This window comes from Homo sapiens, chromosome 8 (assembly GCF_000001405.40).
Source record: "Homo sapiens chromosome 8, GRCh38.p14 Primary Assembly".
Lineage (NCBI taxonomy): Eukaryota > Metazoa > Chordata > Mammalia > Primates > Hominidae > Homo > Homo sapiens.
Genome location: NC_000008.11, coordinates 41,275,434 through 41,293,048, shown reverse-complemented (window position 1 = coordinate 41,293,048; position 17,615 = coordinate 41,275,434). Strand labels below are relative to the sequence as shown.

The following is a 17,615-nucleotide window of genomic DNA, read 5'->3' as shown; positions in this document are numbered from 1 at the left end:
TCTTGAGAGCAGCCTCTCACCTCCACGTAACCCGCAGCCGCTGCTTCCACTCACAGGATGCAGGGCTGGCTAGAAGGAGTCTCGACCTTTGTTCTGAGATGTAGAGGCACTAAGAGCTGAGATGTCTGCACAGTGCCAAATGCCAGCCGGCACCCAGCCTCTCTGGTTACAGGGTCTTTACTCTTAACACACATTCATTTAAAAACAGGCTCATGATGTGTGTTTGTGCATGTGTTTTCTTTTGAAAATCTAACCACCTGCAGAAGACGTGCACTCTTGCAGAGATGATTCAACAATCGTTGGGCTTCTACTGAGCCCTGCTTAGTCTGTACCACATCTGTTGACTAGAATCAACATCCAAAGAGATTTTAGCTGTGTAGACAGAAGTGTTGATATCATTTCTTCCCAGGGCCTGGGAAGAGGGAAGTCTCCATAATTGTATTAGTTTGTTCTCACACTGCTATAAAGACACTACACAAGACTGAATACTTTATAAAGAAAAGAGGTTTAATTGACTCACAGGTCCACATGGCTGGGGAGATCTCAGGAAACTTACAGTCATGGCATAAAGGGAAGCAGGCACATCTTATATGGTGGCAGGTGAGAGTGTGTGAAGGAAGTGAAGGGGGAAGATCCCCTTATAAAACCATCAGCTCTTGTGAGAACTCACTCTCGTGAGAACAGCATGGGGGAAACTGCCTCTATGGTCCAGTCACCTCCCACCAGGTCTCTCCCTCAACACCTGGGGATTACAGTTCAAAGAGAGATTTGGGTGGGGACACAAAGCCAAAAAGGGCTGCTATGGGATCTTCGCTGCAAAGAATTCTGCAGCTGTCTCCTCCCTCCAAGTGCTCTGAACCCGAGTTAAGCCCTGGGTAAGGAAGGTGAAAACTCTGTTGGCTATAGATAGCTCTTACCTGCACACCTGAGTCCAGGAGTGGAAGTTTTTAGTGGTGTAATTCTGCCTGGGGTGTGTTGCTTTTGAAGTTGCGTTATGAGTGGGAAGCCCTGCAGTGAGCCTCGGGCTGGCCACGTAGGAGCTGGTGAGTTTTGGAGGAGAGGGTGAGGGTGTCTGTATTGGGGTGCCCCTGGCCACACTAGGGTACCTCGCTGTCCCCACTCCTGGGGCCTGTTTGAGGCAGAAGCTTTGGGTTTGTCACAGGCTTCTCCAAGGTGCCTCTGTCCGTGCTCCAGCCCTGGATCACAGTGCCTTTGTGCTGCTCCTCATGGTGTTTCCTGCCTCGGGAAGGAAACACCTGGATTAACCTAATTTCATGTTAGTGTCAGAGACCCAGTCAAGGCTGACTGCGTGGTGTGTGTGCTGGGCTCCGCGCTGGTGAGTGTCCAGAAAATGGTCATGGGGTGTGATTGGGAAGTGGTTCTGCTCTACCAGGCCTTACCATCTAGAGGAGGTCAGGGGATGCAGAGATGCCCGTGATAGAGAAGAGCTGGGAGCCACGGGAGCATACAGAAGGGAGCTGGTCTCCAAGGAAATGGTCAAGGGGAGCTGCAGAGATGAGAGACCCTGTGCTGTCCTCCATGGAGCTGGTAGGCATTTGTCAGGCAGCAAAGGTGGGCCTAGGAAGATAATCCCAGTGGAGATCAGACCAGGAGCTGCGACGCTGCACTGGGGAGTGGCGAATCTCTTTGTGGTTAGCTAGCTTATCAGGGTGTGGTGGTGAGTATCTAGAAATGATGACAAAACAGGCAAAAGCCAGCTTGTGCGGCAACCTGACTGCTTTCTTACAGAATGGAGATTTGGCCTTGTTGGTAACACAGAGACACTGGGAACTTATTTTAAAACATGACTGTCTTATATCTTTAAAAAAGTCCTCAAAAAAGGCCGGGCGTGGTGACTCATGCCTGTAATCCCAGCACTTTGGGAGGCTGAGGTGGGCAGATCATGAGGTCCGGAGATCGAGACCGTCCTGGCTAACATGGGGAAACCCCGTCTCCACTAAAAATACAAAAAAAAATAGCGGGGCCTGGTGGCGGGCGCCTGTAGTCCCAGCTACTCAGGAGGCTGAGGCAGGAGAAAGGTGTGAACCTGGGAGGTGGAGCTTGCAGTGAGCCGAGATCGCGCCACTGCATTCTAGCCTGGGTGACAGAACAAGACTCCATCTCAAAAAAAAAAAAAAAAAAAAAAAAAAAAAAAAAAAAAAGACGAGGAAGAGGAGGAGAAGAAGACAAAGACCTCATTAATCAAATAATGAAGTCCTAATGGCAGAACTGCAGACATCAGTGGTGAGACATTTTGGACAGGGAGTCTCTGAGTGAGGGTGGGAGGGAGAGAGGAGCCCTGGAGCCGCGTCCCGTATGAGAGGGCTCAGGGTGGTGCCTGTTGGGTCTGGGCCTGCTCAGGGCCACCCACTTGAAGGAGCCCTCGGGAGGTGGCTGATGAGGTCAGCACAGCTGTCCTGGCCGTCAGGGAAGGGGCCATCTGCTGCGGTCAGTGCCCCCGGGACACCTGTGTTCTGCGTGTGCAGAGCGGGAGCCAGAGCCTGTAATCAGCTCATACTTAGGTCACCGCAGAGCTGGCCATTACCAAGAGCAGTTGTCATTAGGACCCATCATAAATGGTCCTGACTTTTCTCTCCAGACTTTGTTATTGACCAGGGGCAGCAGGAGCAGTGCCTCCGGAGCCAGCCCCAAAGCATTGCACTGGGAATGGCATTTATGAGGGCCTTCAGGGCTGGGTTAGCCCAGGTGTCTGGAGCTTCCCTGAAAGAGGGAGGCAGGAGAGGCTGCAGTGACAATAAGGGACAAGGGGAGGTGCATGTGTGGTTTGTGTGTTTATGCCTCTGTGCACGTGGGGTTATATCTGCGAGATATGGGTGTCTGTCGATGCCTATGTGTAGTTGGGGGACACAAGGGACCACCTGCTGTGCACACATGTGTGTTTGTGTCTGTGTTTGCCTGTGTATGGGTCAGTCTGTGAGGTGTGGGTGTAGACAGATGTGGGTAGTGTGTGGTGTGATGAGCTGTGTACGTGTGCCCTCCTGTGCGTCTGTCTGTGTGTGCATAGCACATCTGCCTGGTGAGCCTGGCTGTGCTGGGCAGCTGCCTTTTCCAGCTGGCCTGGGCTTCCCAGGGACTTGGTCTCCACTGGTGAGGCCCGAGGGTCACTTCCTCCCCCAGCACTTGAGAGAGACACTGTCTAGAGCATGCTGCTAATCCACTATCCTCCAGAAGAGCTTCTGAGAAGCCCAGGAGGGATTTCTCTGCATTGATGCCATTATACAAACTGAGTGCCATCTTTGTAAGTTTGGGGAACACTCCTATGGTCTTGGTATTTTGTTTATTACTTTGAGTGCCAAATAGACCTCTTTTGTTTAGGTTTCAGTGTTTGCAGCAAGTCCATTTAGAACTGCTGGTTCTCTGGGCAGGAGTCACTTCCTTAGAGGATTCCAGCGGTTAGCAGGGATTGACATAAAGGCGGTGCTGTAATCTCTAGGATTTAAAGAGTGCATTGGAAAGAACACGTGTAGCCTTAGGAGCTGTACAGGCGTGAGCCCAGCGCCTGGTTCTACCACCTACTGTGTCAGCGCCTGCAAGTCACTGAAGCACTCGGTGGCTCAGTTTACCCACCTGTTAAGAAACAAAAACAAAGACTTCTGCGTTAGAAGATAAAATATGGAGTAAGAAAAAAATAACACAGATTCTGGAGTCCTGGCATCTAATTTCTGCGCTGCTACTGAACTGTTTGTGACTTTGGCCAGTCAGTTCAAATCTCTGAGCTTGTTTCCTTAAGCGAGTTGAAGGGGTCACCATAGGTGATCTGTGAGTGTCCTCCAGCTCTGCAGTTAGGTGGTTTTGGTCTGTGGCAAAAACTCTGTGACTTGCTCTCTAGGTGTGATATCTTGGTTGGCACCTCCTGCTCCCCAGGCAAGGCCCCTGGGAACACTGGCCTTCACCTTGGGTGCATGGGGAAGAGAAGTCGCTATGTGCCTGAGAGGGTGGAGCAGATGAAAACTGAGTTGGACGCATTCATTGAAGGGTTGAGTTGGGGGTGCATTGGAGGGCGTAGGACCACTGCAAAGGGCAGTGCATTGCATAAACTGTGGATCAGTGGTCTCTGACCAGGGCTGGGCACTGCTGGACATCCTGGCCCCAGCGCCATCTTCTTGGGCTGATCCCCGCATTTGCAGCCCCTCTCCTGAATGTGTCTCTGAGCTGCTGCTTCTTCCCTTCTGTTCTCAGAAACCCAGAGATGGATGGCATAGGAGCCCCTTCCGCTGCATAGGGTAGGAGAGAGCCTGCTATGGGGAAGCAGTTTGGAAGCAGTTACTTTCTAAAACTCAGAACTGAGTTTTCATTCCTGCCCCACAATTTACTAGTCGCATGGCTTTGGCCAAGGGCAATGCTTGGAACCACAGTTTTCTCATTTGCCAAATGATGGCCATCATGCATCCCCCACAGAGCTGGTGTGTAGACATGAGAGTGTATGGAAGAGTCCTGGAAACTACAAAGTGCATTGCAGTTTTTTTTTTTTTTTTTTTTTTTTTTTTTTTTTTTTTTGGACAGGGTCTCTTTGCCCAGGCTGGACTGCGGTGGCACTATCATGGCTCAGTGCAGCCTCGAACTCCTGGGCTCAAGCGATCCTTCTGCCTCAGTCTCCCAAGTACAGGGACTGCAGGTGCATAGCATCACACCTAGCTAATTTTTATTTTTATTTTTATTTCATTTTATTTTTTTGGAGATGGAGTCTCTGTCATCCAGGCTGGAGTGCAATGGCACGATTTTGGCTCACTGCAACCTCTGCCTCCTGGGTTCAAGTGATTCTCTGCCTCAGCCTCCTGAGTAGCTGGGATTACAGGCACGTCCCACAACAACTGGCTAATTTTTTTATTTTTAGTAGAGACAGGGTTTCACCATGTTGTCCAGGCTGATCTTGAACTCCTGACCTCAGGTGATCTGCCTGCCTTGGCCTCCCAAAGTGCTGAGATTACAGGTGTGAGCCACTGTGCCTGGCCAAATTTAAATTTTTTTTTTTTATAGAAACGGGGTCTCGCTATGTGGCCCAGGCTGGTCTTGAACTCCTGGCCTCAAGTTATCCTCCTGCCTATAGGCATGAGCTGCCATGTCCAGCATACAAAGTGCAGTTCTCCTCTAACTTGTCATTCACCCTGTGGCGGCCAGTCCCAGTTGCTCTCTTACAGCTCCATGTGGCATCCCTGGAAGGGCTTCCTGTTTATGTGGAGGCTGTCAGCATCCCTTGTGGTCCCTTCCCTCAAAGCATTTGTGACACATGCTGCACTTTCCTTAAACTGTAACAGGTGAATGCATTTTATAGATATACCAAATTGAAGCCAGGATAGTAATGGTAATGTATTTCTCAGAGAAGCTTAAAAAGAACTTCAGAGGTTATTATAATACACACGAATCTATTCCCTCACCTTCTCTGTGGACTCACAGGGAGAGCAAATATTAGCTGAAGACCCTGAGATCGAAAGCATCAAATCAGAAAGGATGCTTGAAAAATCCAGGCTTGAGATGTAGAGCCAGGCTCACCCCTAAAGAGGGAACAGAGCCCACAGCAGGCCCTGGTGCAGGTGGGATGGATGCATCGGGGCCACCAGCCTGCAGTGGCACATGACCTGGTGCTCTTACCCACTCTCCATGACGTTCCTCCGAGCCGATGCCAGCATTTAGAATGAGCGCTCAGCATCGCTTCGGCCATGGTGGCCGATGGCAGAGATTTTGTGTAAGAGGAGCTGTGAGGTGAGAGAAAACAAGCTGGCACGCCTGTCATTCCCAGGCATTTCCCACTTTCCTGGGGCCTGGCCATTCTCTTCCCTATATAACCCCTTCAAGTGGACAAGCCTGTGTGTTTCAGGATGTCCACCTTTTAGGACTGCAGGTGTCAGGAAGAAAACAGATGTGAGGGCCAAGGCTGTGCAGTCCAGCAAAGGGAAGACTCCTGTGTGGCACCGGAGAAACTGGGCTTGAGGAAATGAAACCTTGTTCAGCAGAGGGGCAGGCTGCCTTGTTCCGTGGTAGGGTCCCACTGTAGACGTTATTCAGAGACCTGGCAGCCTCTTAGCTGCGATACCTGGAGGCCTGCACTGGGCAGGAAGCCAGAGGCATGACCCACAGGACTCTTTTTCAGCCCTTCAGATGCCACGCTTGGGGCACTCACTGTGTGCTTTCTGGCCACTGGCTTCTCTCCAGAAGTTGGCTGTGTTGGTGGGTGAACCTTCCTTCTGGTGGAGATGTAAGATGATCTTTCTGAAGAAGGTGGAGGAGCCAGCTAGGGCCCCCATCTCTTTAGGTCACCAGCAGCGTATGAATCCTACCCTTGAAATGAGTTCCTAGCTGCCCCCGACCTCGTGTGTGGACCCCCTCTTCAGTGAAGAAAGGGATGACGCCAGGGTGTGTAAAGACAGAATCCTGGAGTCGTTCCATGTTGCGTGTCTTGGAGAGGAAGGCCAGATGGCCTGGAGCATTCTAGTGGCTGTGACTCTTTGGGAACGGACCTGCAGTTGGCAGCAAGGAGCATGGACATGGAATGAAGTCCAGGCCCAGGGCTGAACCCCCTCCCCCCGCCCCGCTTCCTTTATCCAAGGAGGAGCCACTGGCCCCACACTCCCTCTGCCTCCCTTGGTGTTGATTTTCCTGGTGACTTTGAAAAACAAATCCTTTTTTGCCTTCACAGTTGTGTCCCTGTGTTTGTGCGGCGGGGGAGGCGGTGGGAAGGTTGAGCGGGAACCGCCCCTGCCTCGGAACAGGAGTAGAATCCATGTATTGTGTTGGGTTTTCCCTGTGACTGACAGCTCTTTGCCTGGAGGCTTCTTCGCTTACAGACTTAATGTATCTCCTGGCAGGTTTCCTTGTTTTGGATGATTACTCGAAGTCGGGAATAGGCAAGCCCAGGGAGGAACACAGAGTGTTTCTCTCTCTTGGGTTCATCGTCCCCATCCCTGTCCCCCCATTCCCGACGCTCTTTGGAAGTGGGGTGATGCCAGGAATCGGGTCTGGGCCGGCTGGCAACTATGAGCTTCTGCTTTACCCACCCACCCCCTCCCCCCGCCCAGTTCCATAGAATGAGGACCCTGGGTTGGAGTGGAAACGTTGCCTGTTCCTCCCATGGAGCCCTCAGCCTGAGAGTTCCTGGGGACCCATACCCCAAAACTCCGCAGAGAACACCAAAGGGTGGCCACTTCTGAGGCGGCTGGGAGGGATCATTGGCACCCCCGACCCTAGCCTGAGCCTGGCCATCCCATCCGGTGGAGCCTCCATCCCGCTCGAGCTAACTGAGCACGCCTGTCTGTCCTAGGTCCCTGCCTCACCCCAGAATGCTCTTCAGAGGAGGCATGGCAGGGGCACTCCCTGGCACTCACGGGGGCTCAGCATTTCCTGAGTTGGAAGGGTTGGGGGGCTGGGCCACAGCCCTGCTGTTGTATCTGACTGTGGTCCTGGGAAAAGTGAGGCCAGGTGGGCTGGCCTCAGGGTCCCTGGCTCCCGGCTTTCCTGCCTTACTGCAGCCGCATTTCTTTTTAGGAAACGACTTATCTGATAGTAAGCTGGGGCTGCACTTCTTCCGCCTGGAGTGGGGCTTAGTTCTCTGGTTTTTGGCATTTTATTCTGGCAGGGAAGTAGGGAGTGGCTTGCTTGCATTTGTGGAAGAAATGAGGGAGGCTGATTGAGCCCATGGGGCTGGAACCCGAGGGGCTGGGGCATCACCCTTCCGGAAATGAGTGTGTGAAGGGAATAGTGCGTGGGGAACGAGGGGCGGAGGACAGCAGTGGCTCCAGGAAGTCGGGAGTCCTGGTTCTGGTGCCAGCTCAGATGCTGACGGCTGAGGGGCTGGGGGCTTCATTTTCTCTCTGGGCCCCAGTTTTCTGATCGGTAAAATGAGACTTTGGTTAGATGGCCTCTTAAATCCCATTGTGCTTTAACATTCTGTGCATCTATATGTGAAGTTCGTGTTTGTTAAACACTCATGTGCCACGAAGCACAATTTTTCTTTAGAGGAAATCTCACCCGGAACTCCATTGTGGAAAACCAGGCAGCACAGGCCACCAGGTCGGAAGCGGAGGGGACTGAGTGTCGGGCTGGCTTGGCCTCCACTTACTCTTGCGGTGCATCTGTGGGGCGTAGGGAAGAGTGAGTGTCTGACCTGAGGGAAGAAGGGCAGAGTGAACTCAATGAGTCACTGACTCTGTACTTTCTCCCTGGACTGGAGCATCGGCCTTGGCCTTGCAGCCTGGGGGTACCCATGATGGCAGGCCATGTTAGCCTGCCAGCCTGCACTTGCCTGCGCTTACCAGCAGCTCCCAGAGGCTTTGCCTCTGCCTCACCTAAGAATGCTCTTCAGAGGAGGCAGGGGAGACCCCTCCCCCTACGCCACCTTCCCTGGGCTCTGTAGAGCGAGCAGGTGTGGGCCCTGCAGGCTGGGCTCTGTGGAGTGAGCAGGTGTGGTCCCTGCAGGTCACTTCATTTGCTGCTGCCCTGAGCTGCTGTCCTGGCTGTTGTCAGCCATGCTGGAGGTCCGTGGGTATTTGCAGCCCAGCATCTCCTGAGTGGCAGCTCCATTGCCAGACTGAGGGTCCCTGCTGACGCTCTCAGCCATCACAGAGCCACCAGAGCACTGTGCCCAGTGCATGAGTGGGGTTTGCTGTGGGAGGGGCCCTCCAGCAATGTGGGAGGGGCTCAGACAATGTGGGAGGGGGCCCTCCAGCAATGTGGGAGGGGCCCTCCAGCAATGTTGGCCGGGCCCTGGTGTGTCCCAGCCTCTAGTGAAAGAGCTCTTCAGGGTGTTTACCTGGCACTTTCTTCCCACAGTGTGGCCGGTTTCCATAATAGCCACTGTGCTGCACCTGGAGCTGCCGTTCTCCTTCTCCTCTTCCATCTGAGTCTGGGCTAATGAACCAGACTCTTTCTTATTATTCTTGGATTCTCCAGCTTCCCATCTTCACTCAGTGATGAGGCTCCTGTCAGCCACTCTAGATGTGCAGGCCTAGGTTTGGATCCTACTTGCTGACAATCTTAAAGTTTGCCATGGCAAACAGGTAATGCTGGTGGGAGCTGTAGGCAATCCCCCAGAGAGTCCCCTGGCCCAGCTAGGACACCTTGTGTACAGCAGTAGGTTGGATGGAACAGTCAGGCTGAGCAAAGTAACAAGCTCTAATCAACTCTTTGTGTTAGCCCAACTCATCAATAGATACAAGAAAATTGGAGGAGTTTGGCCGGGCGTGGTGGCTCACACCTGTAATCCCAGCACTTTGGGAGGCCAAGGTGGGTGCATCACCTGAGGTCAGGAGTTCGAGACCAGCCTGACCAACATGGCGAAACCCCGTCTCTACTAAAAATACAAAAATAAGATGGGCATGGTGGTGGGTGCCTGTAATCCCAGCTACTCTCGGGAGGCTGAGGCAGGAGAATCACTTGAACCTGGGAGGCAGATTGTGCCACTGCACTCCAGCCTGGGTGACAGAGAGAAACTGTCTCAAAAAAAAAAAAAAAGAAAGTTGGAGGAGTTTAATTTTTTTTTTTAGTTTCTATAAAAATAGCGTTGATCTGAATGATTTTTACAAGTTCAGCCGCTGACTTTGGCCTGATCTTCTGATCACTTCATTGGATTGTCTTTAAGTAAATCTTGAGCATGGCTGAAACAGCAATCGGGGGCCTGCACGTTTTCTGTCTAGATGGTCTCACGGGGGTTTCCTATCTGGCCACCAGCTCTGTCTAATGCAGAGAATGTGACCTATTCGCAGGACAAGGCCTAAAGATCATCCTACTCCCATTGTATGGGAGACACACACACTCTGAAAGGGACTCGGAGGAGGAGATAGATGTGACGCCTACCTGGTGGTCTAATTCTGACACTTGTCAGGGAAAAGTACTTTTTATTGTAGCAAAGGGAAGGAGAAACAAGGACATGACTGACCTGAAACTTAATAAAGATATTGAAATCTACATCTAGAAAGAGAGGAAGAAACAGGATGGAGACTCATGTTGTCCAAGGTCATGTAATAAAAGCAAGAATCTAAATTCAGCAGTGTTCTTATCTGTGAGATACGTTGGAATCTTCATTCTTTTGGAGTGGAATGAAGAAGAATGAGATCGTAGATAGCCACAGAGAGCTTCTTGAAAGAACATAGGGAAATGAATCAAAATTTCTAAAGCTGGAGTTATTTTGGCCCGATCAGTGCAAAAAAACTTTATTTGCTTGTCTCTGGCTTTTCTTGAAGGCAGGGCAGTACTTTAAAATTGTACAGAAAGCCAGGAAAATAAAATAAATGAATGGATGAATAAAACCTAAACATGTATATAACTCTGTACATATATTTGTGTATATAATATTTTTGAATATGTAGTTTCAAAAAGGCAATGTGTTCACATTGTATAAAATAAAAAATGTCCAAATAATACAGAATTAAAAGTAAGAGGAACAGGTTGCCATGTTCAAAATGCTTTCCCATGCTTGAGCTTATTTTTATTTTATTTAAAATTTTATTTTATTTAAAATTTTATTTTATTTATTTATTTTTTTCTATTTCAGATTTCCAAACAAGCATTTTTTGTGTGTTTTTGGAGGCAGGGTCTTTCTCTGTCACCCAGGCTGGAGTGCAGTGACACAATCTTAGCTCACTGTAGCTTTGACCTCCTGGGCTCAAGTAATTCTCCCACCTCAGCCTTCTGAGTAGCTGGGACTACAGGCCCACACGACCAAGCCCGACTAGTTAAAAAAAATGTAGAGCTGGAGTCTTGCTATGTTGCCCAGGCTGGTCTCAAACTCCTGGGCTCAAGCCATCCCCCAACCTTGGCCTCCCAGAGTGTTGGGATTATAGGCCTGAGTCACCCTGCATGGCCAAAACCTAATTTCTAACATTACAAAACACAGAGCTACAAGGTGCACACATCTGAACACCTTGGGTGAGAGGCCCTTTGCCATGCAGGCAAACCAGGGACAGTGAGAGGCAGATGTGGGAGGCAACCAAACAGCTACCCAAAAGGCCCTTAGCAACCCAGTCCTATAGGGTGACGAGAGGAATGGAGGGGCCACCTTTTGCGCCCTTGGCCCTGAGTGCTCTGAAGGTCTCCAGCTGTCTCGTGAATTGTCCTAGCAGCTCATTTCAGGCTCTTCAGACAAATGAGGACCCTTTGAAACTTGTTTATTTGTTGACCATGAGGCACGACATATGCATTCGCCAGAGGTGCTCTGGACAAATCACGATCAGGGTAGGCGAGAACACCAGAGAGTGGTCAGCAAGGTTGGGAGGGGATCCTAGATCTTGAGACTGTGCCTTTCCCAGTTGGCCATGTATATGAAATTCATCACCCTGTAGGGTGTGGGGGTTTCCCCTGCACACAGCATTGCAGCTCCTCAGGTTACTGATCTTGCTTAGCCAGGGTGTGTGCAGTATATGAGGGATGGCTTCACAGTGAACCCTCAGTCAATGACAGATTGACCCTGTGACTTGTTTATATTATGCCCCTGTGTACACATCCATTCACAAGAGATAGGAGCCACAAGGGTGCTTGGATAGCACCTGAGGACAGACTAGCTGCCTCCGCATCCTCAATGTGTCTCAACTCTTTGGATGGCAGCCATGGGCTTAACCCTTCTGTGCTCTGAAGGGACTTTGCCTCTAGCTATGGGTGAGTGCAAGCTGACATTTGTCTTTCATTTTCCCCTGTCTGTGGCTGCAACATCAATCCCCCCATGCTGAGGGAGTGAGGGGCACTGCACTCCCACTCCACTGGCAAATCCTTGAAGGGCCTGCATGGCCCCCGAATGTGCCCAGCTGTGTAACAGGGCAAAGCTTGCTGGTGAAGGCTGGTGAGGTGGGGCTGTGATCAGCACCCCTGATGCAAACTGGAGGCCTTGGGGAGGAGGTGCAGGAGAGAGGACTCCCACTCCCTCCCTGCACGGAGTGGAAGGCCATGAACGAGGTAGGAGCACTTGGCAGGTGGCAGGAGAGGCAGGAAAAGGAAATAGAGGAGAGGGAGCTGCATACATTAGAGGTGGTCATGCCTGCTAGGAGCTCACGGGCCTGTCCCACAGGGCTCAGCCTTGGCCCCCAAACCTGGATGTTGACTATCTTCAGTAGGAAGAGAAGCACGGTCCCTGGAGAGTACTTGGAACATTAAAAGAATCTGTCTGTTGTGGAGCCACTTGGTAGAGATACTTAGAAAGCACTTGCCTTCTGCATGCTAGGAACGCTTCTGGGAGTTGGGGCAGGCGCTCCAGAATGTGGGCCGAGCACCCGTTCCTGCAAAGCTCTGTCTATGTGTGCCCTGAGTCTTTGCCCATCCAGCAGCCTTCTGTGGTCTCCTCTAGGGCTGGGGCTGTTTGTCCCTCTGCAGGTGCTAATTTGGCCCCATGGGTCAGCAGCTCCTGCAGCCACAGGGAAGCTTTTTGTTTGTTTCTTCTCAAGAAATGGCTTCCTGAAGAAGTAGAAAGGGCGTGCAGAGTTGGGGTCGTATGGGTTTTTATTGCCGCTTGCTCCCTTCAGCTCTCAGAACCTCTGCCCCGTGACTTGTGTGTAGGCTCCAGATGGCTTGAGAGAAAGGAAAGACCCAGGGAGGGTCTGAGGACCTGGAAGCCGGAGTCAGGGCATTCAGCTTGAGGCCGGTGCCACCTGGCTGCCTTGAATGCGTGCCAGCGGAGTAGGGCAGGGAGTGCGAATTCCAGAAAATAGAGGTAAGGCCAGCTTTGACATAGGACCGGGTGCTGATTCCTCTTAGCTTTTTAGATTCTTGGCTTTGGCCAGACCTGTCTCAGGTCAAGACACTTTTCAGCTTTGAGAGGCCAGCGTTCCTCTGCATCCTGTTTGGTGTACATTGTCATCTCACTGGATGATTGTGTGCCTCGGGCAGGGCTTTGCCGCACCATCCCCCGACCCTGCACCCCACAAAGGAAAACTGTATGAGCTCCGTCAGCCCTCCCCCTGCACTCCCCTGGACTTGGGAGGGAAGCCCAGCGCTGCCCATCTTATGCCGGGGAAGGTGTGTGGCTTGGGCCCAGGCTCAGACTGGACCTCGTGCCCGCCAAGGGCCGGAGTCAGAGCAGGCCACCAGGGCCCCTCTGTCTTCAAGCCTTCCTGCTATTGACATAAAGCCTAGAAAGCTGAAAAAAAGAAAGAGACTATTCAGGTGTAGAAAGTTGGATAAATAGGTAGGGTCAGAAATGGGAATAAGCAAGAACCTTGAACTGTGCTTGTTGACACTATCAGGTCCAGAGAGATGAGGCCTCTATTTTTGCTTTGGAGAGAATCATGTGATGGCGAGGATGAAGGATTTTGGACATAGGTTTTTTTTTTTTTTTGCTTTCTTAGCTTTGTACTTTGGAACTGTCTATGATGGATCAGAGAGATGCTTCCCTCTCTAAATCCCTTTATACCTAGAAAGCTCTTGGAGGGAAAGGGGGCCAGTGAGACCCTTCTCTGCCCCCAGGCCTGAAAAGCAGCTATCCCCAGTAGAAAGGGAACCCCCAAGACAGAGGCCTCCTGTTCTGCTTATGTGGTTCGTTTTGCTTCTGGTAGTGTTTATATGTTGTGAGCCAGGCTTCTTGGATCAAAGTCCCGCTCTGCCATGGACTAGTTGTGGGACTTGAACCTTTCTGGGACAGAAAGGTTCTGCTCCCAGACATCTAGAAACTGGGTGTCATTATTGGAGTATCTGCCTTCTAGGCTGTTAGAGGTGTCCCGGAGTGCATCTACTGATAGGTGGGTAGACCAGACCCCGGCCTGGGCAAGCACTCGGTGACCACTGGCTCTTGCTGTTGTTGTTAGTGCTGAAGCGGAGTTCTGTGCAGAGAGTTCCAGTCTGGCGAGTGAGTCTTTGAACATCCGGGCAGTGGCTGAGCTCTTTCCATCTCTCTGTTCATTTGTGTGCCCCACGTGTGTTTAGCTGAGCCCCCTGATGTCAGGCATTGCACTAGTCATTGAACAGAGATTGGATGCGTTTTGGGCCATGTCCTACATGAGCTCACAGAGGGGAGGAGGAGAGGTAGGAACACTCGTGGGTCATTCTCATGCAGAGCTCTGCTGCATCAATGTTGAGGCAAGGAGAGCCAGGAAGGCCAAGGCTAGACTGGGCTGGGGAGGCATCAAGGAGAAGATGGTCTGTAGCTCGGCCTGAAGCACAGGTGACCTGCACCCCCTTCCTTCAGAGAGGACAAACCGAGAACATGATAAAGGGAGAAGAGTGAGGTGCAACTGCTGCGATTTTGCAGAGGCATTGGACTAACTTTGTCAGGGGTCTCTCAGCAAAGGGGCCAGCAGCCCCCTAGGCCTCTGCTCCCCATCTGTCACATGGGATGGCATGAAGATCTGCTGATTATTATTTGTGGAGTGTGTCAGGTGTTTTTCCGGGGCTGTCTTTGAGCTTAGACAACTTTGTGACCAAGATGGTGCTCTTGTGCTACTGTCTGCCCTGCAGGGCTGGCCTCGGGCACATGCAAGCAAGGCCCCTGGGGGTGGAGCGGCTTGGGCAGCATTGCCATCTGAGAGGTGGGATGTTCCCATTGTGCGGTCTGGGCTTCTCTACTGGATTTCAAAGACAGGGAAAGGAAATAGGAAGATGCAGATGTAGCTCACCATTGCAGGCAGGGAGACTGAAATGAACGGATCCATCTCAATGAATGAACACATTCGTTTTGCAAATGGCTACGCTGGGATCCAGAGAAGTAAAATGATTTTACCCAAGTTTATGCTAAAGGTTAATGGTGGAGTCTAATCCACTAAAATGTGAGTGGTGGGATTGGTCAGCTGGGGTCTGCTGACTCTCCACTTGGGGTCCGTTCCTCTGAAATGTGCTGCCTCTTGCTATCCAAGCTTTTGTTTTCTTGATTTTGCAAGCACCCACAGCTCTGGAAGAGACCTCAGCAATTCTGTAAGTAGTGCTGACCACCTTGCCCTACTCCGCTGTGTCTTGGACAGGCCTGTGCCAATTTTGCTGGCTTCCACCTGAGCTCCAGTGGGTTTGGGGGGCTGCTCTGGGCCTCTAGGATGTTTAGACGTCATCCAAGAAAGAGTCCTTAAAAGATACCACTGTGAATAACCAAGGTGACAAATCAAACAACCCACCCTGTCCCAACCCTCAGGCTCTTTAAACCAGTGGTTCTCAAGTGTGATCCCCAGGCCAGCAGCATTAACATCACTTGGGGACTTGTTAGAAATGCACATTTCTGGCCAGGCACAGTGGCTCATGCTTGTAATTCTGGCACTTTGAGAGGCCAGGGTGGGAGGATCTCTTGAGGCCAGAAGTTTGAGACCAGCCTTGGAAACATAGTGAGACACCATCTGTACAAAACTAAAGAACATTTTTTTAATTAGGTGGTGTGGTGGCTCATGCTTATAGTCCCAGTTACTCAGGAAGATCCTTTGAGCCCTGGAGTTCAAGGCTGCAGTGAGCTGTGATTGCACCACTGTACTCTGACCTGGGTGACAGAGTGAGACCTGGTCTCTAAAAATAAAAACCAATGCAGATTCCTGGGCCCCATCTCATGGCTGCTGACTCAGAAGCTCCAGGGGTGGAGCCCAGCAGTCTGCATTTTTAACAATCCTCCAGGTGATTCTGATGATGCTCACTCTAGCATCTCTCAGAGCGAGGGATAGTTTTTGCCTTTTCTGTAGCCCACTCCCCATCTTTTCCCTCCCAGGAGACCATCCCACATTTCAACTTGCCATTTGGGCAAACACCAGGAAGTAGATTGGAGAGGAATGAAAAACCAGTGACCCCATGGTAGGAAAAGCTGTTTGCCTTGGCAGGTTTGCCTGGACTCAGAGCCAAGATTCAATCAATCCTAGTGATGGACTTTATTTAAGTGATTCTCCTATTCTTCTTTCTCTCCCTCCAGTGCAGGATGGTGGTGAGGGTGGGGGGCTGGGGGTGGAAGAGGCTAAGCTGCACACTGGGAAGGGGAGGGGCCACAGTTCTTCTCTGATCCACTCTGAGGCCCAAGCCCTTGCTCCCCAAGATGCGTGGCTTCCCAGATGAAATCACACCAGGCAGCACTTTGCTCTCAGAGTGGGGTTTTCATTTTGCACCATTAGCTTAACTCAGTGGGGATTTAACACAATCCAGGAAATCAAGCAGTTAGCAGCAGGATTCTGGATGGCTGACACCGATGCTGCTGGTGTGTATGCATTGATGATGCTGGCGAGTGTGTGTGCATGTGTACATGAGCTTGCGTGTGTGCGTTCATATGTGAGTACTGGGGAGAGGGCTCTGCAAAGTTGCAATCTCTACTCTCCTGCCTGGCCACCTTCCTGAGGTGTCTGGGGTCCAGAAAACAGGACAACTTCAATTAAATAATTTGTCCCAAATGAGCCACTCAGGAGCATTTTCCACATCTGCTGTTTTTTGTTTTGTTTTGTTTGTTTTGCTTTGTTTTGTTTTTGGAGATGAGAGAAAAAGAAATCTGCTTTGGATCTTGTTCTTTTAGTTTAGTTTTTTTTGTTCTTGTGTGTAACGTATGTCTTGTAGTCAGCAAATGCATCCAAGTATGCAGCATGTGGCTTGTGGTCAGGGGAGAGACGCTGAGTTATTGTGACAAAGCACAAGCCCCTTTCTCTGCTAAACGAATTAATGATGCCAGACATTGGCTCCTGCTGGGAACAGTGGGGTCTGTTAAGCTGCCATTGCAAGGCCATTGTCAGTAGGACTTATCTGGGCCCTAGTGCCGCAAAGCCAGCTCGCCATGGTGCCCAGAACTCTGCTGAGTGTTGGAAGGAGGTTGTGGTTGCTTGCAGCCAAATGCCGTACCCAGTGCTGTTACTGAATCTCATTTGCACAATTGGACTTGGGGAGGGTGCTTTCTGCCTCAGACCTCAGGGTTACCCAAGACATGTGTGATCTGGGGCTGGGAGGCAGGAAACCAGTGCTCTGTCTTCATGGCTTAGTGAGGCTTTGGTATCTGAGCAGACTTTTCCACCTGGAGGCTCTGTGGGGTAGGAGGGGTGGAGCAGGCCCATGCGACTGGTGCATTGGGGTGCCCGTCTGTGGGCCTTTCCTGATCAACCAAGCTGGGCTAAGCCACTTTGTAGAGTTTACAGACTGGTGTGGTGGCTCACATCTTTGAGAGCACTTTGAGAGGCTGAGGTGGGAGGATCACTTGAGCTCAGGAGTTCGAGACCAACCTGGGAAAGATGCCAAGACCCTGTTTCTACACAAAAATTAAAAAATCAGCCAAATGTGATGCTGAATGCTTGTAGTCACAGCTCCTCAGGAGGCTGACACTGAAGGATCACTTGCGCCCAGAAGATCAAGGCTGCAGTGAGCTGTGATGGCGCCACTGCACTCCAGCCTGGGCGACAAAGTGAGACCCTGTCTCTTAAAGAGTTTGCCAGTCTCGGATCACGAGGTCAGGAAATCTAGACCATCCTAGCTAACGTGGTGAAACCCCGTCTCTACTAAAAATACAAAAAATTAGCCGGGCGTGGCGGTGTGTGCCTGTAGTCCCAGCTACTCGGGAGGCTGAGGCAGGAGAATTGCTTGAACCCAGGAGGCAGAGGTTGCAGTGAGCCGAGATTCCGCCACTGCACTCCAGCCTGGGCAAAAGAGCAAAACTCTGTCTAAAAAAAAAAAACAAAAAGAGTTTGCCAGTCTCACTGTGACTAGCTTGCCCTCTACTTCTCTTGTTATCTCTTTGGGAACTTTAGGCC

General features: G+C 51.1%; 1 protein-coding gene across 1 annotated transcript in view, besides 1 other annotated feature; it reads left to right on the top strand.

Annotated features, from left to right (window-relative positions):
• The window catches only part of SFRP1 (secreted frizzled related protein 1), a 47,512-nt gene that overhangs the window by 16,425 nt on the left and 13,472 nt on the right, over nucleotides 1-17,615 (top strand). The window lies entirely within an intron of this gene.
• Nucleotides 16,279-16,863: an enhancer, noted in NCBI's record as "NANOG-H3K27ac-H3K4me1 hESC enhancer chr8:41133705-41134289 (GRCh37/hg19 assembly coordinates)". NCBI's record gives its function as "activates a minimal SCP1, AML or CMV promoter by ChIP-STARR-seq in naive H9 embryonic stem cells {active_cell/tissue: H9 hESC(naive)}" and the evidence as "EXISTENCE:reporter gene assay evidence [ECO:0000049][PMID:30033119]".